Genomic DNA, 23,685 nt, shown 5'->3' with positions numbered 1-23,685 from the left:
GTCATTTAGCATTAGGTATATCTCCTAATGCTATCCCTCCCCACTCCCCCCACCCCACAACAGGCCCCGGTGTGTGATGTTCCCTGGAAGGACATTTTTTTTTTTAAACATTTATTTATTTATTTTTATTGACATGTAACAATTGTATATATTTTAAGGCTAGCATTCCAACCGCATGGGTGAAAGTCTTTCTCCATTGTTGTCAAGTTACAGTATTTCCGGAGGGCTTGGGAAATCCCTGGTGCTGCGATGAGGACGCTGAGGAGCCTGGTGACGGGCTCATGCCAAGGTCATGTGGTGGCTTCCGGGTGGAATTTAAGTCTCTTGACTCCCAGCCTAGTGCTCCTGCTAGCATGCCACACTCGGGTGTTGTTTGTCAGTGCGTATCCTCTTCGGAGGAAATACGTTTTGAGGTTGGTAAAATGAATTTTGTTGAAAAATAGCATCTTAACGTAGTTTTTCATAGTTATCTGGAGAACTTCAAGGCCACTGTGACTTTTCCATGAATTATTTCACGTACATCTTCCTGCACCTATCAACAAAAAGACCGTGAGAAACCCACGGTTCCCCATTTGTAAAATAAGGGAATTAAACTAGGCGAATCTAGACTTTCTGGGTCAGTATTTTGGCTTCTCCAGAATCCGCTTGACTTTGAAGTATCAAACCTAGATGTATTGGACATAACATAATAGCCTTAAGTGCCCTACGTTATAGTGAAAAGTAAATAGGTGATTTATTAGATTTTAAAACGTATTTTAATTACATAGATAATGAAGAATATATTTTCCTTAGTTAAAAAAAAAAAAAAAACAGACAAAGACTGAAGTCCACTCTGACACTCCTGCCCCATTCCACCAGGAGGGACATTCCCTCCTGTCCCACCCCAGAGGCTGTTATTGATTGAGGATATATAGAGGCCTTTTAAACATACATTTATAGGCCAGGCGCAGTGGCTCATGCCTGTAATCTTAGTACTCTGGGAGGCTGAGGCGTGTGGATCACCTGAGGTCAGGAGTTCGAGACCAGCCTGGCCAACAGGGTGAAACCCTGTCTGTACTAAAAATACAAAAATTTGAGCGTGGTGGTGCGTGCCTGTAATCCCAGCTACCTGGGAGGCTGGAACCCAGGAGGTGGAGGCTTCAGGAAGCCAAGATGGTGCCACTGCACTGCAGCTTGGGTGACAGAGTGAGACTGTCTCAAAAAAAAAAAAACATTTATAGCAAATATATATATATTTATTTCCCTAAAATTTCTATAACATTATTAATTTTTTTTCAAGACAGGGTCTCACTCTTCACCCAGGCTGGAGTGCAGTGGCATGATCTCGGCTCACCGCAACCTCCACCTCCGGGGTTCAAAGTATTCTCCTGCCTCGGCCTCCTGAGTAGCTGGGATTACAGGTGCCACCACCCATGGCTGATTTTTGTATTTTTTAGTAGAGACAGGGTTTCACCATGTTGGCCAGGCTGATCTCGAACTCCTGACCTCAAGTGATCTGCCCATCTGGGCTTCCCGAAGTGCTGGGATTACAGGCGTGAGCCACTTCACCTCGGTTAACATTATTTTAAATGTTGCTTTATTGAACATAATTTGTTTCCCAAACTTATGTTTTAATACAATCTGTTTTGCATCTTGTTGTTTCACTCAACAGGCTGTCTTAGAGCCTTCTTTCTTTTTGGGGGGCTGTTTGAAGGTTTGCTCCTCATTTCCCATCTCCCTCCCAAACTCCCCCGGGTACATCTGAAACACAACCTCCTCCCACTTTTTGAAATATCTCCCTTTTGCTACCTGTTTATTCTCCAAAGCCCTCTCTGCCCCTCTCCTTTGGTGGGAATCGGTCACTCCCTCCATGATCCCCTCAACCTATGCTTGTATCTGTTGTGGCTTGGGTTTCACTTACTGTCTTTGTTATCACATGGCCTCTGCCCTTTGTTAGATTTATTAGTTTCCACATCTGTCTCATCTACCAGACTATCTCTAGAAAGACAGAGACCTCCTTTATGCCTATTGGTCTGCCCTGCACATAGCAGGTGTTCAGTAAAAGCTGGTTGACCTGCCTGAGGTGGGGCATGTGAGCTGGTTTAAGGCAAGTGCTGCATGAAGGTGAGGCTAGAGAGAAGGCAGAGTCACTGCAGACCTGCATGTGGCCCGGATCTCTGTGCAGGGGGAGCTGCTCCCTCAGAGCCCACCCACCCCCCGCCACTGTCCCCATCCCCGACACACTCTTTTCATTAGGGAGAATCCAGGCTGTGTCTTCATTTGTACAGCACGGTCTGTGGCTGAAATGAAATCTGAAAAACAGCTTCCCACAATGCTTCTACCCTTGTTAAAAATAAACCAACTCTATCTACAAGGGTTTGTTTTTTTAAAAAATAAAGAAAATATCCACATCCCTTCCCGGCCCGCCTCGGAACTGAAATCCGATGCAAAGACTTAATCTTTAACTGAAAGGAAGGGTGAAGCATAAGCAAATCATGGAAACGCTCCTTTCTAATCGTCCTAACAAAGTCCATCCCCCAGCAGGTGCCCGCTCAGGTGTCTGTTATTCGGGGTCGATGAGCAGGATTGGAGGCTGGGGGCAGGAGTGCTAGCTCCGATATTAGCATAATATAAAAACTACACAGCACTACGTTGTTCTGCATAAAACAGTTGCTTTCATGACATTTATTTTATATGTCAGGTAACAATTAATTTTTAGACTAACAAATAAATATAAATAGGGAATAAGGAAAAGATTATGAGACAACGTCCATAGCTCATACTTCATGTGTCAGATAATGGTAAGTGTTTAGACTTACAAATCTAAATAAGGATTAAGGGAAATTATTACAGAAAAATTTCCATAGTGGTTCACTCCTTGGATCCTGAAGCAAGTTACTAAGGAAGAGACTGATTCAAAGGACACATATTAATCTATGGGTTTTTTGGCCAGGTGTGGGTGGCTCACACCTGTAATCCCAGCACTTTGGGAGGCCTCTGGCAGATCACTTGAGGTCAGGAGTTTGAGGCCAGCCTGGTGAAACCCTGTCTTTACTAAAATACAAAAATTAGCTGTGCGTAGTGGTGGGTGCCTGTAATCCCAGCTACTCGAGAGGCTGAGGCAGGAGAATCGCTTGAACTCGGGAGGTGGAGGTTGCAGTGAGTCAAGATGGTGCCACTGCACTCTAGCCTGGGCGACAGACAGAGCAAGACACCCTCTCAAAAAAAAAAGATGTGGTTTTTTTTACCTGCACAGGAGGTGGGTATGAAAGGACTAAACAAAATAAGCTACGTACTCTGTGTGCTAAAAACTACCATTAGATATAAGTTGAGATCGGGGAAAGCATTTTTAGATTAAGAAAACCCTTTGTACCAAAAGATACATCCTTTCAAACATAATTAACATGTCTTGCCTGTAGTTTTCTGCTCAAATTATTTGTAATTCTAGTGAGGAAGAAGTGTTTCTTTCTAGCCAAAACAGCCATCTGGATGAATACCAATGAGTGCATAAAAGCTTGAGTTACTAAGGGGGTAGTCTCCTGGGCAGGTGACCCCCTTGCTTGGAGTTCTGCTGCTGAATGCTGTCAGCCGCAGCCGAGCTCGCGTCCTCCTCAGGCTTGGTGGAGGGCCAGGCAGGGTTGCGGCTCACACTACAGCAGATGCTGCCTGTGGTGGAGAAGGGGGAGAGGAGGAGGGAGGAAGCTGTTTCCAGAACCTTCCACCACTTGTAGAATTTTCTGCAGCTTCAAGAACCTTCTGGTGCCTCCAACAAGCAGATTCTTTCACTGAGGAAAAGCAACTTGCGAGCAGCCAGCCTGCGGCCCAGGGTGCATCACTGTCTGCAGGAGAGGGACAGATGCCCCTTGCATGGACCGAAGACTCAGGGACCCACATACCCCAATATCTGTGGACGGGGGAAGAGACCCTAACCCAGTTCCTTATTGCTGCCTTCCTGTGAGGACACAGTGGGCAGAGACCTGAAGCCTGGTAGGAAGAGCAGAAACTGGGAAATAACAGGGCTGACTTCTCTCTGAGAAGGGAAAAAATGGAACATTCCAGAAAGAAGAGTTTCCTAACACTTGGCTTCCCCAGTGAACAGAGGTGAACAGCTTGGAATCAGGACTGTGGGTTCGAATCCTGCTCTGGCTGTAGGACGTGGACTGTCTCACTTTCCACATCTGGAAGATGATGATAATATTCCTGGCCTCTCAGAACTGCGGTGACAATAAATGGCTTAAAGCATGGAATACCCTAACCACACTGCCTGGCACATGTTAAGGGCTGAAAAACTGTTAGTGATAATTATTCATACCTTATTAATAATATTTTCATTTTTACTTACTTATCTTTAACAGTAATTCAAGAGTGACCAGCTAAAAGAATTTGCTGGAATCAAACAGAGAAGTTGAAAAACAAGGATGATCTGAGAGTAACCGACAGCTTTGTACCAAATATTGAAGAGAAATTACTAAGATTTTTAAAAGTAAAATTTGACAATGACTTTGAGAATTAATCATTTGAGTCTGTTCAGGAGATAAAGTTGGGCTTTTTGAAAACTAATACTTTTGTCCTCGCCTCAGCATCAAAATGGGTGCTTTTGGGAAGAGACATCTAGGGACTTGACCAAAACCAGGATTCTTCCTAAAAACCAGAGCTTAAATGTTTTAAACAACCAAAATAAGTTTCTTCCCCCTGAGATACAGAAGAACAAGCAACAAGAAAAAAAAAAGAAAGAAATTAGGACATTAGATTTCAATGTCCCAGTGAATGCCTTACCAATAACGATTCCCTTTTCCTGCCAAACACTGGTGACCTGTTGTTTCTCCTATTTTCTCCCTGGACAGTTGAGAAATTATTGCATGATTTATCTTTAGTGCAGGTACAACAAGGATATGGCCACATATTACCCCAAATGAGGGATTCGTATCACATTATTTTCCATTGGTGAGTAATCGACGGGAAATGGGAAATGTCACTTCAAGGCGGGCTGGCCATCTGGTGGAAGCATCTCCATGAACACAGCAGCTGATCTACATGGAAATATTAAAGCAACAAAGTCTGAAGCTGTTTTGCTTCTCCAGGGAACTTCAGTTCATGCATGGAAGGAAGGCAATAAAGTCCAATTATTCTGGACGCAGCTACACAAGGCATATGAAAATTATCTCATGGAGGGTAGCGCTAAGCTAAGTATTTTTTAAAATAGCCATCAGTCACTCCCGGCAACAAAATCAAATAAACCAATCAATCTCTAAGGAACTCCTCATTAATCAAAAGACGGTGGTGAGAAGTTGGCAATTTTTCATTATTCTACGTGTAATATTTTAAATCTGACATGCTGACAGGGTGGTCTGAACATGTGAAATTATCACGTCCGAGAGGAGGAACAGTTGAGCTTCACAGTGTTGGACCCCTCACGTGTTACCTATTTATTGTGAATCTTCAAGTTTGCCCTTTTAAGGTGTTTGCTTTCTTCTTATTTGGGGGGCATGATCTCTGTAGTTGAAAATGACAATAATAAAAGGCTCTTACTACTGAGTGTGGCCAAAACTTTGGGGAACCCAGTGCTTTGATGGTCCTCAGAGCTGAGATTTTGCCATTCAACATCCCCGTCTCGGGAGGTGGGCCTATCAGGCCCACCATACAGAAGTACATTTGTGCTAATGAGATTTCTCACAACCATACCTAGCAGCTGCCTTCAGTAATGAGATGGATTGAGCTATTTAGCAGGTATGGAAAAGCCTGGAGGGAAGATTAATGATAATTAAATAGGGGTGAGATTTGTCTCAGGTATTGCTGGGCCTACCTCAGGAGTGTGAAGTGCCCGTGGTTGCCTGGTGGGATTTAAAGTTTATTTGAATGAACACTCCATTTTTAAAAATTGCTGAAGTCCTTCATCTGTTTTTGTTTTCTCTACTCCATTGAAAACACAAACATCCCAGCAGGTTCTACTGGACTTTCCGATCTCTTGAGTCAATAAGATTCATGGTCTTTTCCAGGACCCCACTTTGCCAGGAGGAAGCAGCTGGTTGAATAGCATTTAAAAAGAGATTTGAAGATTGAGGAGCAGATGTTCTGAGTTCTGGTCTGGTCCTGGGAGCCATGCAGCCTTGGTCAAGTCAGTTCCATCTTCCTGAGGCTACACTTCAGCATCTGTAGGATGGGAGTGTTGAGCGCTAGATCTATGACTGGTGGGCCAAACCTGCCCTGCTGCCTGTTTTTGCAAATAAAGTTTTATTGGAACACAGCCATGCCCATTTCACTTATGTATTGTCTATGGCTGCTTTGGGACTACAATAGCAGAGTCGAGCAGGTGCAACAGAGACACTGTGGCCGGCAACACTGAAAATATTTACCGTCTGACCCTTTCCAGGAAAAGTTTTGCACCCTCTGGACTAAATGATCTTCAGCTAGACTCCTTGTGGATTCCAATCTGTGGTTCTCAGATAAGGAAAGAGCATGGGGCTCTGTAGGAACCTGGGTGAAGGGATATCTCTGAGCTGGAGAAAGTCAGAGCGCAGAGGCTGGACCCGCCAACAGAAACACTCTCATACCTTCATCGTGCCGCTTCCCTCTGGTCCAGGGGCCAGGCTTTTTGTGGGCAGGGACCATACGTTCCAAGCAATCCTCCCGCTCAGCCTCTCAAGTCTTTAAAACCCAGCCCCAGTTTTAAAGACTCCATGTAACCGGTTGGCAGCAGATAGTTGATGGTACCAAGGCTCCTTGGTACCGTTCCTGATGAGAGGGCAGCTGTATCGCTGGAGGAGTCAGAGTGTGGTTGGTGGTGCCTCGTGGTCAATGGCAGAGCCTCGGCTTCACCATGAGGGCATCTGCCCAGCACACCACACATGTGGCTGCCACACCCATCACCCGCCCTTTCCATCCTGCTGCTCACCAGCTTGGAAGTCACCATTCACACCTCTGCCAGGTTTCCAAAAGTTCCTTTGTCTGGCCTCCCTTTGACCTCATGCCGGCTCTTCTGTCATCTTTGGTGTCCCCTGTTGTGGCTGAGGGGCTCCTTGCCATCCTCCAACCCCCATCATCATCCCCTCTCTGACCACTGCCCTATTACCCTGGCCTCAGAACCTTTTCTTTCTCCTCGCTGCCAGCTTCAAGTCTTTATTTCTTTTTTTTTTCATTTAGCTTTGACTTGAAACTCACCTTCCATCCTCTTCATCCTTCAAGACTCAGCATGGCGTTCACCTTCTCCTTGAAGCTCACTGATCCCTCCTGCCCCAGAGTCCCCTAGTGCATGTCATCAGCCTGACACCCCCTCATTCTGTGCACTTGCGTTGGGCTGCACACGAGACCACGCATTCTTGATGTCAGGGTGTCCGTCTTATCCTTCTCTCGAGGTCACAGGGCTGGGCTGGGTAGGACATCAGTGTCTGGCTGCTTGTTGAGTGGTTTGGCCATGCTTGCTGAGGTGGGCCTTGGTGTTCACCCTCCGTGAGGGAGCCCTGACTGGCACATTCCACAGAGCACCTGGGGTGGGTGTCGGAGCAGCGCCCATGAGAAGCAGGTGATGGAGAAGGCTCTTGAGGGCCCAGAACTCCAAGGGCAGTCAAGGTGGCCCAGCAGCCAAGGGTGGGTGGAAGGGGAAAGTACCTGGCACCCATGCCTTGCATCCACAACATGGGCTAGAAGGAGCTGAGAAAAGATGGCACCCTGGGCTCTGATGTCACCTGGGTGCAGGGCCCGTCCCTCCGTGAGTCACAGCCCGGCAGAGCATACCAGGCAGGACACCTCCACATGGGTCCAGTTTCCCATTCTCACAAGTGCCCACCAGCCCTGCTGGGAAGTGGCCAGTGGCTGTCTCTGAATGTGACATTGGAATATCAGGTGGCAGCACTTGCTCTACTGGGCCCAGGTCCAGGAGGCTGTAGGTATACGATCCTGCCTGTCATGTGGCAGCCACACTCCCCATCCCCCTCATTTCTAGGCCCACAGCACGGTCACGTGGAGCTCAGGGTCGGTATCTGCCTCACTTGATATCATGACTTTGGGTTTTAGAATTTTCTGTCAGTGGCATACGGTCGGTATCTGTCTCATTTCTTGCCATAACTGAGTTCCCCATTCCCTTGTGCAGGTTAAAGTCTGAGGCAGGCCAGGCGCCGTGGCTCATGCCTGTTATCCCTGCACTTTGGGAGTCCAAGACAGGAGGATCTCTTGAGCCCTGGAGTTTGTGACCAGCCTGGGTAACATAGGGAGACCCTGTCTCTTTAAAAAATTAAAATAAATGAGCCAGGCATGGCGGCACACACGTGTGACCCCAGCTACTTGGGAGGCTGAGCAGGAGGCTCGCTGGAGCCCGGGAGGTCAAGGCTCTGCAGTGAGTTGTGATCATGCCACTGCACTCCAGCCTGGGCGACAGAGCAAGTGAGACCCCGTCTCATTAAAAAAAAAAAAAAATCTTAGCCAGATGCATTTTCCCTGCAGCTCACACTGCTGATGGGTATAGATCTAAAAAACAAGTTTCCTTGTGCTTGGAGAGAGCAGTCAGGTCCTGCTGTTGAGGTCACCTGTGTCCCCATTCAGTGTTTGGAACTGGCATTCAGGGTGGTAAGAGTGCTGCTTTGTGTCCCTCAGGTCACACTCCAGGAGCCGGCAGGGCTGGAGCATCTCGGAGTGGGCAGTAAGGGCAGTCCCTTCCCACCTGTTATTAGGGATGGTGCCGAATCCACTTTCTTTCTTTCTTTCTTTCTTTCTTTCTTTCTTTCTTTCTTTCTTTCTTTCTTTCTTTCTCTCTTTCTCTCTTTCTTTCTTTTTTTTTTTTTTTTAGATGGAGTCTCACTCTGTCACCCAGGCTGGAGTGCAGTGGAAAAGTCTCGGCTCACTGCAACCTCCACCTCCCGGGTCCAAGCGATTCTCCTGCCTTAGCCTCCCGAGTAGCTGGGGTTACAAGTGCACACCACCACGCATGGCTAATTTTTTGTATTTTTAGTAGGAATGGGGTTTTGCCATGTCGACCAGGTTGGTCTCAAACTCCTGGCTTCAAGTGGTCCACCCACCTCCGCCTCCCAAAGTGCTGTGATTACAGGCATGAGCCACTGCACCTGGCCTAATCCACTTTCTACCTAAACTGGGAAACTTCCTAGATTGCTTTTATTGAAAAGAAAGTTTAAGTCCAGAGTGCAGTCTCTTGTTTGCAAAAGTTTGGGGGAACACAGATCATCTAATCATGTAGCTGAAGAGTGTTTCTTTCATCACACATATACACCCTATTGATGTGTATTCAGATGGAAGTTTCAAGAGGAGATGGATCAGTCCTTTCTAAAACCTGGGACAGCCAGAGCACAGGTGCATGAAACCAGCCTGTTATTTGAAGCCATCTGTGTGCTCTGCACAAAGGCAATCGGGAGAAATGTAGCCCTCAAGTCTGGGACTCCTGGGCGCAGACAATCAAGCTTGCTCCCTGACACTGGGGGGATCAGGAAGGGTCCAGCCAGGACAGTGAGTGTCCCTGGGGAGGTGGGGAGGGGTGGTCACTGCCAAGTGCCTGGTTGGTCTTGGGTTCAGCCTCCGCAGTGACATGAAGTTCTGCCTGCCTCCGTGTGGGCCACCTCTTCTCCCCTTTCCCCTGAACAAATTCCTCTGCTCCCAGAAAAGACCATGGCTACAGTGAACACTGGATCTTGGCTGGCCAATGGCAGGGCATTGAAGACAAGGGTCCTCCCTACTCATGACTTAGTCACCGAGACCCAGCGGATAATTAAAATGGAATGGGAAGAAGTCATCTTGGGATAAAATCTACACTCCTCTCAAACTTACCTTCAGCACAAAAAAGCCAAAGTTTGGAAAAGAGAGGAATGGCAATGCTTGCCCTTGAATTCGAAATTGTTTTTGTAATTTATGTGTTGGGCTCCGGGGACAGCCGCATCTTCTTGCGCTGTTCTCCGGTTACCTCCCCCGCGCATCTGCATCCTGTTCTCTGGAAGGCGCCATATATCACAGGGTCCTCCAAACGCAGTGGGTTGTGTGGGGTTCATGAAAACGAGGGCGGCTGAACAGGCCCCAAATGGGGATGGAGGGGAGGGAATTCCTGGCTGCTGGGCACGCAGGCTTTGCCCAGCTTTGGGCAGGATTGTGTGCAAACCCCCAGCGCATCCTGGGGAATGCTCAGTGTCTCCCAAAGTTAATAAGCAAGGACAAGGAAGAACATTTGCGCCAAGTCAGGACACACAATTTGGACTTGAGTCACTCCCCTGTGGTTCTTATTTGCTTTATTTCAAAACAGGCTCTGAGCCCACAGGGGTAATAATATGCATTTTCACATGAAGTGGGGCCTGGATTTGGGGAAAGTAAGGCTGGAGTGCTGCGTGTGGGGTGTGGCTGCCTTGATTATATTGGACGTGAAAAGAAGATGGGTTTTATAATAAGCACAGGGGCCAGGGAGTGGGCTATGATCTCAGTTTGGGAATCAGTTTGATTCATAAAGAGGAGTCCAAGATTTTTGCTTGGAGTTGCAGACCTTTATTTTTAAAGTTAAGGCATAAAAAACTTCAGGTAATAACTTGATAGGGAATTTTTTAGCTGACATGTTGCTGCTGATAGAAAATTCTAAAACCTAAGGTCATGATATCAGCCTCTGGCCTTCTTGTATAAAACACTAGATATTTTCCAATGTGATTTTCATTTGGGGAATCGTGACGATGCTGCCATTTTCCTTGAGAGTGAAGGGACAGGGAACAGGAAGGATAGATGCATTCCTGAGTCCTCTTTCTATTGCTGACCTCCGTCCCCATCAGCTGACACAAGGACCCCAGGCCAATGTTATCTCTGCATCAGGTGGTACCATTTGCCTTCTCCAGTCTATGTCCCGGCCCCTACTCCCAGCAGTGACCACCAGCTTGGGGCCTCACTCTGTCATTCCCAAGACAGACATCTGCCCACACAGATGGACCTCCAATGTGTGGAATATTATTTCCTTGGCAAAACAATCCCAAGCCCTCTACAGGACTCAATTTCAGGATTTTCCTGGAATGTTGTGAAAATCTGTGTTTTTGCCATGGGAACATTCAGAAGTAGAGGTTTGGATGGCTCCAGTTACAAGATGGTATGTCTGAAGCTATATTTCTTAACTCAATGGCTATTCAGCAAGCCACCAACTCTCCTCTCCTGTGTACCAGTGAGCCCAGGAGAGGAGGGAAGCTGCCTTTATAAAATGTCCCCATTCATGCCCTAGCTTTACTCTCTGTCCATTGCCACTCCTCTCCAAGTTACCAGAAGGGGTCACGTGCTTTCCTCATGCTTCCCTTGGGGCAGTCCACTGGCCACTTTGACGGGACCCTCGGACCCTGCCAGGAGCTGGTTGGAAAGCCTGGTGATTTAGGAAGAGGCTGATCTTTACGGAATGACCTCTACTTTCAGATATATTGTGGTCAGAGCCAAATTTTTAAATCTTTGATACTCAATGCCTATCCAAAAAATAAGTGATTTTTTTTTCTTTCTTTCTGAAACGACAGCTTTTCAAGAACGTCTGGCTTTTCCCCAAGCCACTGCCATTTTGGGCTGTCTGCTCTGCACAGCTTGCAAATTGAAGCAAGCAGTTGCTTGGGCTGCAGCACGTTACCTTGGACTAGGTCCCCACGGGGGTCATTCTGCAGATCAGTGAGCCCAGTCCATGGGGAGCGTTGAAGGGGGTTAGTGTTTTCATTATCTGCCCAGGTGCCATAGTCAAGCAGGACTGGCCTTCGAGAGAGATGATCTTTTGCTTGGGGCCATTGTGGCTCCTGGTGGATTGCTTAGAAGTATGGAGTCTCCATCTGTTGTGACTTGAATTGTGTCCCCTCAGAGGATCTATTCAAGTCATAACTCCCTTGTGTGTGAATGTGAGCTTCTGTATTAGTCCATTTTCACGCTGCTGATAAACACATACCCAAGACTGGGTAATTTATAAAGAAAAAGAGGTTTAATGGACTCACAGTTCCACATGGCTGGGAGGCCTCACAATCATGGCAGAAGGTGAAAGGCACATCTTCCATGGTGGCAGGCAAGAGACAGAATGAGAACCAAGTGAAAGGGGTTCCCCCTTATAAAACCATCAGATCTTTTGAGACTTATTTACTACCACGAGAACAGTATGAGGGAAACCACCCCCATGATTCAATTATCTCCCACTGAGTCCCTCCCACAACACATGGGAATTATGGGAGCTACAATTCAAGATGAGATTTGGGTGGGGACACAGCCAAACCATATCAGCTTCCCTGAGAAAAAGGTCTTTGCAGATGTAATCAAGTTAAGATGAGGTCACACTGGAGGAGTGTAGACCCCAATCCACTGGTCAGTGTCCTTATGAGAAGAGGGAAATTTGGACACACAGACCCACAGAGGGAAGACGGCCATGTGAAGGCAGAGGCAGAGATTAGAAAGATGCAGCGACAGGCTGAGGAGGACCAGAAAAGTTTAGAAGCCAGGGAGGGGCAAGGAAGGATCCTCCCTGGAGGAGGCCTCAGAGGGAGCACAGCCCTGCCAACATCTTGATTTGGGACTTCCAGACTCCAGAGCTGTGAGAGAATACATTACTATTGCTACAAACCACATAGCTCGTGGTCATTTGTTGCAGGGCCCTAGAAAACAAAAACACTGTCTCTGATGGCTGTGGCTCTGGCATCTGTACTCCATACCCTGGCACCGTGACTCTGCACTGGGTGAGCAATGATCTGAATGCTGGGCTGAGTGTTTGGAAGGAACAGAGAAGACGCTCTCATCAGTGGCATGTCCCCTGCTCTGGTAGCAAGAAAGACTTGACTGGACAATAGGTTGTGGGTTTTTTTGTTTTTGGGGTTTTGTTGTTGTTGTTGTTGTTGTTTTTTAGACAGGGTCTCACTCTGTTGCCCAGGCCGGAGTGCAGTGGCGCGATCTCAGCTCACTGCAACCTCCACCTGCCGGGTTCAAAAGATTCTCCTGCCTCAGCCTCCCAAGTAGCTGGGACTACAGGCATGTGCCACCACACCGGGCTAATTTTTGTATTTTTAGTAGAGATGAGGTTTCGTCTGTTGGCCAGGCTGTTCTCAAACTCCTGACCTCAGGTGATCCACCCGCCTCAGCCTCCCAAGTGCTGGGATTACAGGCAAGAGCCACCACGTCTGGCTAATTTTTTGTATTTTTAGTAGAGACAGGGTTTCACCATGTTGGCCAGTCTGGTCTCCTAACCTCAAGCGATCCACCCACTTCGGCCTCCCAAAGTGAGGACAATTGGTTTTTGTTGCAGTAATGAATGAGATGAGGAAATGAGAACAGATAGAACAGATTTTCACATTTTATTTTCTGCACTACCATATGGTTCATATCCTTACAATGAGAGCGTAATAATGCAGTTCCTTCGTATGATTAAAAAGACAAGAGTCTTAAACAGAAAATAATTAGCTACATCCAGCTAAAAATGGGGCGTGTAACCAATGTAGATGACCCCTTCCTGTTCTGCAGCTGCAGTGGGTGAGGTCCTCGTGGTGTGAAGTGGAGGATGTGAAAAACCAGCCTCTGAACCCACGGCTTGTCTGTCTCTGGACATGGGTGAGAAACCAGAGAAGCTTCTGGCTTTTCACTGATAATAACTGGGAGAGAAATAGTTCAGAAGGAAAAAGAAAAATAGGTTTTACTAGCGGGGAGGTTGCATTAGTTGGAGTTATGATCTCCTGTGAGAAGGACTCCCACAGGTCCTGATTTGTACCTCTGTAATACGGCCTCTCAGAAATGCCCTGGTATTCCCATTAATTGTGTGCCTGATAGTCGCCCTTTCTCTGTTCTGGGTAAATTGGGACAGAGACTATATCTTGTCTTTATATCACTCCCCAATAGCATCTTCCAAATGGGTCACTGGAGTTCAATACACATTTGTTCAATTAAACACCACATTTATTGAATTAGAGTCCTATATGCAGAAGTGTAAATTTTGTTGTTGTTGTTTGTTTGTTTGTTTGTTTGAGACAGAGTCTTGCTCTGTCACCCAGGCTGGAGTTCAGTGGCATGATCTTGGCTCACTACAACCGCCGCCTCCCAGATTCAAGGGACTCCCCACCTCAGCCTTCTGAGTAGCTGGGATTACAGGCACCTGCCATCATGCCTGGCTAATTTTTGTATTTTTGTAGAGATGGGGTTTCACCATGTTGGACAGGCTGGTCTTAAACTCCTGACCTCAGGTGATCCACCCGCCTCAGCCTCCCAAAATGCTGGGATTACAGGCATGAGCCACCACGCCCGGCCAGAAGTATGAACTTTTTTTAGCATTTGATGAGATGAAATTTGCAATGTCAACTTATTTTTGAAATGTTCTGAATTTTGAAATTTGAAAAAGAGGTAGAATTTGCAAAGCACAGGAATAAGTGGACTGAAGATCACTTTCAGACCAGAAACTGAAACTTTGGGATAATTATATTAGTCAGAGTTCTCCCCAGTAACAAAACCAACAGGTCGTGTGTGTGTGTGTGTGTGTGTGTGTGTGTGTGTACGTATGTAAGTGGAGAGAGATTTATTTTACGGAATTGACATGTAATTGTGGAGCCATAGTGAGTCCCAAATCTGATGGGGTAGGCAACAGTCTAGAGGCTCAGGGAAGAGTTGCAATTGACGCCCAAAGGCCATCTGCAGGCAGAAGTCTTTCTTGCTCAAAGAGGTCAGAAGTTGTTCTATTCCTGCCTTCAACTGATTGGGTGAGCCCCACCCACATTAGGGAGCGCCATCTGCTTTACTTCAACTTGGCTGATTTAAATGTTGATCTCCTCCCAAAAACCCTCATGAAAACATCCAAAATAACAGCTTACCACATATCTGAGCACCATGGCCTAGCCAAGTTGCCCTGTAAAATTAATCACAGCAATTCTCTGGATCCCTGTTTCTCAGGGTACACCTTGAGCTCTATTGTGCAGGACTGTATCCAACATTGCCTGAAATTTAACATTTTTAGTCCCTGCCTACTAAATATGCATGGCGAGTCTTGTCATTGCAACAAAAGCTGTGCCCACACGTTTCTCTACACCCTCTTGGGAGCTGGGTTTGCCCAGACTGGAGAACCACTGATGTAGTCTGTCTAACTCTGCAGTAATGTTGCCAAAAGATTGGCAGCATCAAGAAGGTGAACTTCTCAGGTTTTGATGTTCAGACTTCACATGGATATGGTCATTGTCTAATGCAAGGGTTGGCAAACTTTTACTGTAAAGGGCCAGACAATAAATGTTTTAGGCTTTGGGACTCTATGGCCTTTGTTAGAACTACTCAGCACTATAGTGGTAGGATGAAAACAGCTAGAGAGAGTACACAAACGAATGTGGCTGTGTTCCAACAAAACTTTATATAATGGACACTGAAATTTGAATTTCATATAATTTTCACATCATCAGATATTCTTCTTTTAATTTTTTTTAACCATTTAAAATGTAAAGACCAGGCCAGGCGTGGTGGCTCATGCCTGTAATCCCAGAACTTTGGGAGGCTGAGGTGGGTGGATCACTTGAGGTCAGGAGTTCGAGACCAGCCTGGCCAACTTGGCGAAACCCCGTCTCTACTAAAAATACTAAAATTAGCCAGGCGTGGTGGGGCACGCCTGTAATTCCAGCTACTTCAGAGGCGAGGCAGGAGAATCGCTTGAACCCGGGAAGCGGAGGTTGCGGTGAGCTGAGATTCCACCACTGCAAGCCAGCCTGGGTGACAGAGTGAGACTCCATCTCAAAAAGGCAAAATAAAATAAAGTAAAATAAAATGTAAAACCATTCTTAGCTCAAGGACAATCAGAATTTAACTTTCCTATGTCTTATCGCTCACCAATGTACTGTGTGTCCAGCTAAGAATTGAACAAAATCTTCAAGGAGCATTCATTTAACTGAACCAAACTGGGAATTGCGCAAATACAGTGCTTTTCAAACTTTTTGTTTTCAGCAGAATCTTTTTGCAATTCAAATCTGATGGAAACCTCAATGTCTGAAACAAATGTAGTACTTTGTTGGTAAAATTTTATTTCACAAGTTCAGATTTATAATACTTGTACCTTTTGATGAATACAGAAATTGAGAGGAAGTTCCAGATGGCTGTGTCAAGATGCTCTTTACTTAAACTGATCCAGATGCTTGAGAGAGGAGAACGAGAGGGAAGTTTCTGTTTTGAAGCAGAACCATGGACAATATCTAACGGTCGCTTGTATTCTTATTCATAACAAAAGTCAGGCAAGAAGCATCAAAACTTTACAATAAATGACAAAGATAATATCAGCATGTCTCAAGCTGTTTATCCACAACTGGCTCTTTTGGCTGTGATAAGGGCATGTTATAGCTGTATTCCCGCAACTTTATGTAAGTGGAGAAAATCAAGTCTGAATTTTTAATAGATCCATACAAGAGATACAAACTTCCTAGCCACTGGTATAGTTGCAATAATTGCAAACTCCCTGGTGAAAATGCTGGGAGAACTTTGATTCCCAGGTGAGCACAAAGAGAAGGGAAAACGGCCGGGCCCAGTGGCTCACACCTGTAATCCCAGCACTTTGGGAGGCCGAGGCAGGGGGATCACCTGAGGTCAGGAGTTCGAGACCAGCCTGGCCAACATGGTGAAACCCCGTCTCTACTAAAAAATACAAAAATTAGCCTGGCATGGTGGTGCACACCTGTAATCCCAGCTACTCAGAAGGCTGAGACAGGAGAATCACTTGAACCCGGGAGGCGGAGGTTGCAGTGAGCCAAGATCGTGCCAATGCACTCCAGCCTGGGTGACAGAGTGAGACTCTGTCTCAAAAAAAAAAAAAAAGAGAAGATAAAAGGGAAACACAGCTTAGCACACAGGTGGGCCGTGTGTGTATTTTTAGTACCCGAGTGTCCTGTTCTTACTACAGTTTTGTAAGTAGAAATTTTTTTTTTTTTTTTTGAGATGGAGACTTGCTCTGTCACCCAGGCTGGAGTGCAATGGTGTGATCTCGGCTCACTACAACCTCCACCTCCCAGATTTAAGTGATTCTCCTGCCTCAGCCTCCTAAGTAGCTGGGATTACAGGCGCCCACCACCATGCCCAGATCATTTTTGTATTTTTAGTAGAGACAGGGTTTCACCAGGTTGGCCAGGATGGTCTCCAACTCCTGACCTCAGGTGATCTACCCACCTCAGGCTCCCAAAGTGCTGGGATTACAGGTGTGAGCCACCAGGCCCGGCCACTTCATTACTTTTTTAAGGCTGAATCATGTCCCATGATATGGATACATCATATTTGATTTATCCATTCACCCATCGATGGACATTGAGTTGTTTCAACCTTTTGGCTACTGTGAATAATGCCGCTATGAGCACTGGGGTACAAAGACTGTTTGAGTCTCTGCGTTCACTCTTTTGGGCATGTATCCAGCAGCGGAATTGCTGGGCCATGTAATAGTTCTGTACTAAATTTTTGGAAGAACCTCCCTACTGTTTCCATAGTCGGTGCACCATCTTACATCCCCAATAGTGCAAAAGCGTTTCAATTTCTCCACACAGTCACCAACACTTGCTGTTTTCAAGGGTTTTGGTTTTTGATACAGGCTATCCTAACAGGTATAAAGTGGGAAAATTTTTAAATGAGATTTGAGTTGAGCATTTATGGCCCCTGAAACACTTTCAAGTCGCTCTGAGTGACCTTAGGGTTCAGTAGATAACAGTGGGAAGACCCGGGGCTGGGTTTTGCACTGTAAGAGTAAGCAAGTCTTCCTTGACTTCATTCCAAGGAAATGAGGGAAGTGGTTGATTTCAAGCTGGAGGCAAGGCAAGAGAAGGAAACACCTATATCTCAGTGCAGAAACCAGCCACCCCCTCCTCAGGACCAGGTTAAATGAGGACTCATTCTCCCCTTCTCCCCCTTCTCCTCTCCTCTCTTCCCATGTCCTCCTCTTCTCTCCCTCCTGTCTCTCTACACACACACACACACACACACACACACACACACACACACTTTCTCTCACGATAAGACTTTATTTCCCCTTCTCTCTTCGGGTGCACAGCTCCAACATACTGCAAGAGATTATCCCAGTTTAAGATATTTTAAATCAATACCAGTTTGGGATGAGTGGAGTTTAATTCAGGGAGACTCATCTACCAACCAATTGAAACCATCATTGCTTCTGGCGCACTGTGGAAATACCTGCAGTGGGCTTTCCCCCTGCCTGCCTCTTCCCCACCACAGCACGGCCATGGGGCTCTGCTTGCCTAGCCCTTGCAACCTACCCATGGCTCTGTAAGGCTGGCCACTGTCCCAACTCCAGCCTCACTCCAGCTCCCATGAGGCTGCTAATATTCTTCCCCCATGACAGCAGTGATCCTTTCTGCTCTGAAGGAAGAAAACTTCCCTCCAAATATCACGAAGCTGTGATGGGTCTTTTGTCTCCCAGCTACACCTTCTGATTCTGTTAAGAACTTGTAGACTGGGTGCAGTGGCTCATACCTGTAATCACAGCACTTTGGGAGGCTGAGGCAGGAGGATCACTTGAGCCCAGGAGTTTGAGACCAGCCTGGGCAACGTGAGAAACCCTGTCTCTACAAAAAAATATAAATCAATAAATAATAAATAAATAAAAATAAGCTAGGCATGGTGGTGTGAACCTGTGGTCCCAGGTACTTGGGGAGGCTGAGATGGGACGATTGCTTGAGCCCGGGAGGTCAAGGCTGCAGCGAGCGGAGGTCGTGCCACTGCACCCCAGCCTGAGCGAAAAAGTTAGACCCTGTTTCAATTTTAAAAAAGAAAGAAAGAAAGAACTCGTATCAATTATCCCAGGGGCCAGACTGAGGGGCTGCTTGTATTAAATATATCTCCCTACCTCACCCTGGCAGTTCCTCTCACCCACTGAGGTGCCAGGGCAAAGAGTGACCCTAGCTCAGGATGACTTCTCTGCCTCCCCAGCCACAGAGGGCTTATGACCCCTTCTCATTCTTGTCCCCAGAGGGCATGTCCCTGAGGACTCAAACTTCCCCTCAAATGCACCCAAGGGGCTTGAAGCCTCACAAACAGGGCTTCCTGTGACTGGCATGTGAGTTGGAAGGTAATAGATATCCCCACCTCAGCTGGCTTTAACAAAAAGAAAAATGTGTTCTGTCACTGGAGCTGAAGTCCTGAGCTAGGACAGCTCCAGGGTAGGTTGATTCAGTGGCTCAACAATATCTTCAAGGATTCAGGCTTTTCCATCTTTCTACCAACATCCTCAGAGTTTGGCTTGGTCCCCAGGATAGCTCCCTAAGGCTCAAATGGCTGCCGCATTGCCAGTCATCACATCCAGAAACGGTGCTATCCTGTTGAAGGAAAAAGTGGTCCTTTGGCTTCTTTGTTCTTCTTTTTAAGAGCAAAGAAGCTTTACTCAGCAGCCCCCTGGACAGTTCCTCCAATCTCATTGGCCCTGATGGCATCACATGACCAAGTGCCACAAATCACTGCAGAGGGATGGGATGGGATGGGACCACCATGATTTTATGTTTTTCCAGATATCTCGTGAGACACAGGCAGGTAGATTCCTGAGCAAAAATGGGATTCTGTAAACAAGGAGGAAGAGGAGCGGCAGCAGAGTTTGTGAGGTGATGGGCAGACTACGCCACCATTTTTACCTTTAGGGTTACCCCTTGGCATCAATCATGTACTTGCTTTGTTGCTATGTTTTTCATTCTTTTCCTTTTTTACATAAGAAATATAGAAAGACTTTCTTGTTCTAAATAATGTATTCAATACAAAAGTATGTGTGGTAAAAATATGAAAGGTGCCCTTCTCTGTCCTCCCCAGTCTCACTTCCCTCCCCAGGAGGAACCTCTGGCTCTTTTTCCACGTGCTTTCCTCCAGTCCCCCTTCAGCCGTGTGCATACACACATATGTTCACAGGCATACACAGATATGTTCACATGCATACACATATATGTCCACACACATCTGTGTGCTTTGCTTTAATTTTTACATAGATGGTGTCTTGTTCTGCTACTGACCTTTTCCTGCACAAGTCTGAGTACATACGGATCCAATTCATCCATGTTAATGGCTGAATATTATTCCGGAGAGTGGATATTCTATTGTCTTGTATTTTACTAGCTTTTCAATCATGTGCCTTATCTCCCCAAGTAAATTATAAACATCCTGAGAGCATGCCATACTTTTCCTATCTCCAAACACTTAATACAATATTCTTCTACAAAATGAAAGTCAATTAATAGCTATTGTTGGAAAGATTCCCTCTCCCTTACCACATAAATCTTCTCTTAGCACTTCTGACTGCCTCAGGTGAAGCCCTCCCTCAGCTCGTAGAAGGGACACAGCACCACAGTCTATCAGTTTGTCACTCTTCCATCAGTTTGGCAAGTCAACCTCCTAACATGGGAGAGTTGTTAATCTCCCACTGTTCCTTTGGCGATGTCTTCTAGGCTTAGGATGGCACAGCACCTCCCTCTCCCTGAGCTAGTCATCAATTTAGAGCGCTCAGCTACCTGCAAACTTAGACATTATCTCTTTGTTCTGCTCACATAGGAGCATCAGGGCAGAGTCATTAACAGTCAGCACTTCCTGGAGATCCATTTCAAGGGCTACTAATGGTATTCACAGGCTGTTGAGCTGGAACAGTTACCCACATGCCTAGACACACACTCTTAATAACCCTTTGAGGTGTCTTGAGGCAGTCACAGCTACATAAAATAGATTACAAATAAACCTATTCTAGACCCTTTGGTGGGGAGAAATTACTTCAGTACGAGGCTATCACCTCAGAACAGACCAACCAAACTTAGAACTGGGGTAAACTTCTCAGGGTAACCACTCTCTAGGCAGATGTTGGCATCAACCTGCTGATAACATCAGTGAATATCATCTTAGGTCTTGGTGTGGCTTCTTGTACATCTGAATCTGCTGGGCTTCCTGTAGTAGCTAAGAAAAAAATTACCATTGTACAGGAGGAAAGAAAGGAAACACATGGCTCACAGATGTGCTCCCTGCAGCAGGGAGGACTCTCGAAGTGTGGGCCAGACAGGAAACCTAGAATGATGGAAGAAAAATCAGGCACTAGGAATGAGACTGAAATTAGTTTACGTTCCTCAGCTGATTGCACACAAGAGGAAACTTTTTGTTCAATCATTTAAACTACTATTGATTATGGAAAAATTCTGGTCCCTGTTACTAAGACATCTACAACTGAATTGGTAAAATCCACATAGGAAAATTGGACAATGACACAAGGCAATACGGGATCTGGTCTAAGTAAACAGCTATTATGGGTTCAGAAGGACAACCCATTGAGATGGCAACGTTGTGCTTCCAAACAGGGCTGGAAATCTGCTTCAACGCACCGTGAAAAGGGTGTGCTTAACTACACCTGCTCACTTAGAAAAAAACACAAACATTTCCCTCTGGGAACCCAGCCTGAATTTGTTTGCTGACTTGCATGCCTCTATGTGTGTCTTCACCTGTTGGGGTTGGAGGCTCCCCGGCCTGCCTCCCTCCGTGTTTCTGCCACTTCCCTTATCTTGAAATAGCCATGACCATCGGAGAACTAGGTTTCCCTTCTCCCCTTTTCTACATCCACCACCAACTCACATTAATTTATTGAGGACAAACATTGCTGGCAATAGAGAAGGTAGAATCAGAAGAAAACATATCTACCTCTTATTAAAAGGGTTAAGAGGGTTCTTAATAAGTAGACCAGGGCTTGACCTGAAGGATTTTGCTAAGGGCTACTGTACAAGATCCAACCTCCTGCCCTTTACTGGCGTCCCCAACACCCCATGTGGGTTTTTCTGTAGCCAGATATTTTTCCAGACCAACATTGGATTACATGGCTGCAGACCTTGGGATTCAAAAGGGAAAGATGAAACCTTCACAGCAACTTGGAGTTTCTTTCAAGGGGAATTTTCATTACAGAATGTTTTGTTTTAACTGGTAATTAAAGGTAGGTGAAACACTCCTGTAGTAAGGGGTTTTCCTCCTCTCCAACCTGTCCCTCCAAGAGAAACAGGCACAGGCAGGGCCACGAGGCCTGCCCTCCTCTCTAGAGGTAACTGCTCCTGAGAGTTTATGGTCTGGTCCACTTCGGTTTCTCATGTGTCACCTTTCTAGGGGCTGCAAGGCCCAGAGATCTGGACACAAGCCAAGAAGTCAAGAACTGTTGAAGCCGCAGTCTCCACTCTCCTACTGACACCAGAGACCACCCAGCCCAGCCAAACCATATGGCCTCTTGTTTTCCTGATGTATGAGGTGGGTAGAATGCTTTTCCCCCAAAAGAGGACTCCAAGGGATCAATTACTTAAAATCTGTAAACATGTAGCATTATAATTATGATTCCAGTTTCTAGTCAAAACGGAACTGGCCAAAAGGAAAGAAAATACTGACACTGCCTCTGAGGGCAGCTGCCACCGCTTTTCCGGTATTTCCAGTCTGGCGGGTGGAAGAATGTCTTGGATCAGCTCAGCGCTTGACTGGCCCAGAGCTATGCTTTCCCCATTTGAGGATAAAGAGGCCAAAAACCCAACTGAGCCCTGGACATAACTGGGCCGTGGGAGTTTACACCATTTGCTGTAGCAAAGGCTGGACCTCTTAATGGGTTACAGGGTGTCTATGGTAGGGCACTAAACCTTCAGGTTGTTTAGGGATTGACAGGTTGTGTAGGTGGCCAGTAAACAGACTTTTGGTTTCTAAGCTGTCAGTCTAAAAGCAATGCTGCTGGGCCAGGCGCGGGTGGCTCACGTCTGTAATCCCAGTACTTTGGGAGGCTGAGGTGGGCGGATTACGAGGTCAGGAGTTCGAGACTAGCCTGGTCAGCACAGTGAAACCCCATCTCTACTAAAAATACAAAAATTAGCTGGGTGTGGTGGCGTGTGCCTGTAGTCCCAGCTACTCGGGAGGCTGACGCATTAGAATCACTTGAAGCCGGGAGGCGGAGGTTGCAATGAGCAGAGATTGCGCCACTGCACTCCAGCCTGTGACAGAGTGAGACCCAGTCTCAAAAATAAATAAATAAATAAAAAATAAAAGCAATGCTGCTAAGACATCTGCGGTTGTCAGGGAGAAGGAATTTCTGTATGGAACTGGCAGCACTCCCTCTCAACAGGGACTCTGCCCCCAACCATATGTATCTTCTCCATGGGAATCCTTCAATAAATGCCTCAGCCAACAACCACTGCTCCCCTTCTCTGGGCCAAAAATTTTCATCCCATTCTAACTCCTTCTTCCCTGCAGCCAACACCACCTCCAAACATCTACCCTTCTCCTAATTCAGCCCAAAGCAACACAAAGAGCCACTCCTGCTTTCCATTCCCAGTTGCGTTCTCCAGCCTGTGGTTTCCGGTCTGAGCTGCTCCCAAGATGGCGGACACCGGAAGTGCCTTCACAGCAGGTGGGCAGCCATCTCCACCTGTGGCGCTAGGGCCGCCTCCTGCTCAACCAAAGAGAGTCAGAACCTAGCACAATACACACCGCAGCCATGCCCAGGGCCAGGTGGAGACAGGATAATAATTTGACACTGTTTAAACTATTGGTTTTTATATATTCTTTCAATATTTACCTAGAGGAAAGGCTGAGTACTCTAAATAAATAAAGGAAAGGCCCAGCAGGAAGAAAGGGCCAGCGGGGAGCAGCCTCAGCGGCTTCTTTACCTCCAGAGAATTCATTTTTTGCCTCAAACTTGCAGCCTCCTCTCAGCAAAACAAAAGCCCCACAATTAAGGACGCCTACCAACCCACAGGACAATGTCCTGAAGCCAGCCCCTCGAGGCATAACCCCTTACTCCAGAACCTTCCATCT

The 23,685-nt window shown here is 46.4% G+C and overlaps 1 protein-coding gene across 2 annotated transcripts in view, besides 2 other annotated features; it reads left to right on the top strand.

Annotated features, from left to right (window-relative positions):
- Positions 1-23,685, top strand: part of CLDN14 (claudin 14) — a 115,949-nt gene that overhangs the window by 44,067 nt on the left and 48,197 nt on the right. For both annotated transcript variants that reach the window (NM_001146077.2, NM_001146078.3), the window contains exon 2: positions 22,003-22,140. The gene's annotated coding sequence lies outside the window, so the exon portion shown is untranslated. The remainder of the gene's footprint in view (positions 1-22,002; positions 22,141-23,685) is intronic.
- Positions 1,980-2,059: a silencer, noted in NCBI's record as "silent region_13287". NCBI's record gives its function as "represses an Ori minimal core promoter by ATAC-STARR-seq in GM12878 lymphoblastoid cells {active_cell/tissue: GM12878}" and the evidence as "EXISTENCE:reporter gene assay evidence [ECO:0000049][PMID:35858748]".
- Positions 20,735-20,784: an enhancer, noted in NCBI's record as "active region_18437". NCBI's record gives its function as "activates an Ori minimal core promoter by ATAC-STARR-seq in GM12878 lymphoblastoid cells {active_cell/tissue: GM12878}" and the evidence as "EXISTENCE:reporter gene assay evidence [ECO:0000049][PMID:35858748]".

Source organism: Homo sapiens, chromosome 21, assembly GCF_000001405.40.
Source record: "Homo sapiens chromosome 21, GRCh38.p14 Primary Assembly".
In the NCBI taxonomy this organism is placed as follows: domain Eukaryota; kingdom Metazoa; phylum Chordata; class Mammalia; order Primates; family Hominidae; genus Homo; species Homo sapiens.
Note: the sequence above shows the minus strand (reverse complement) of the source record. Positions and strands in the feature narration are given on the sequence as shown.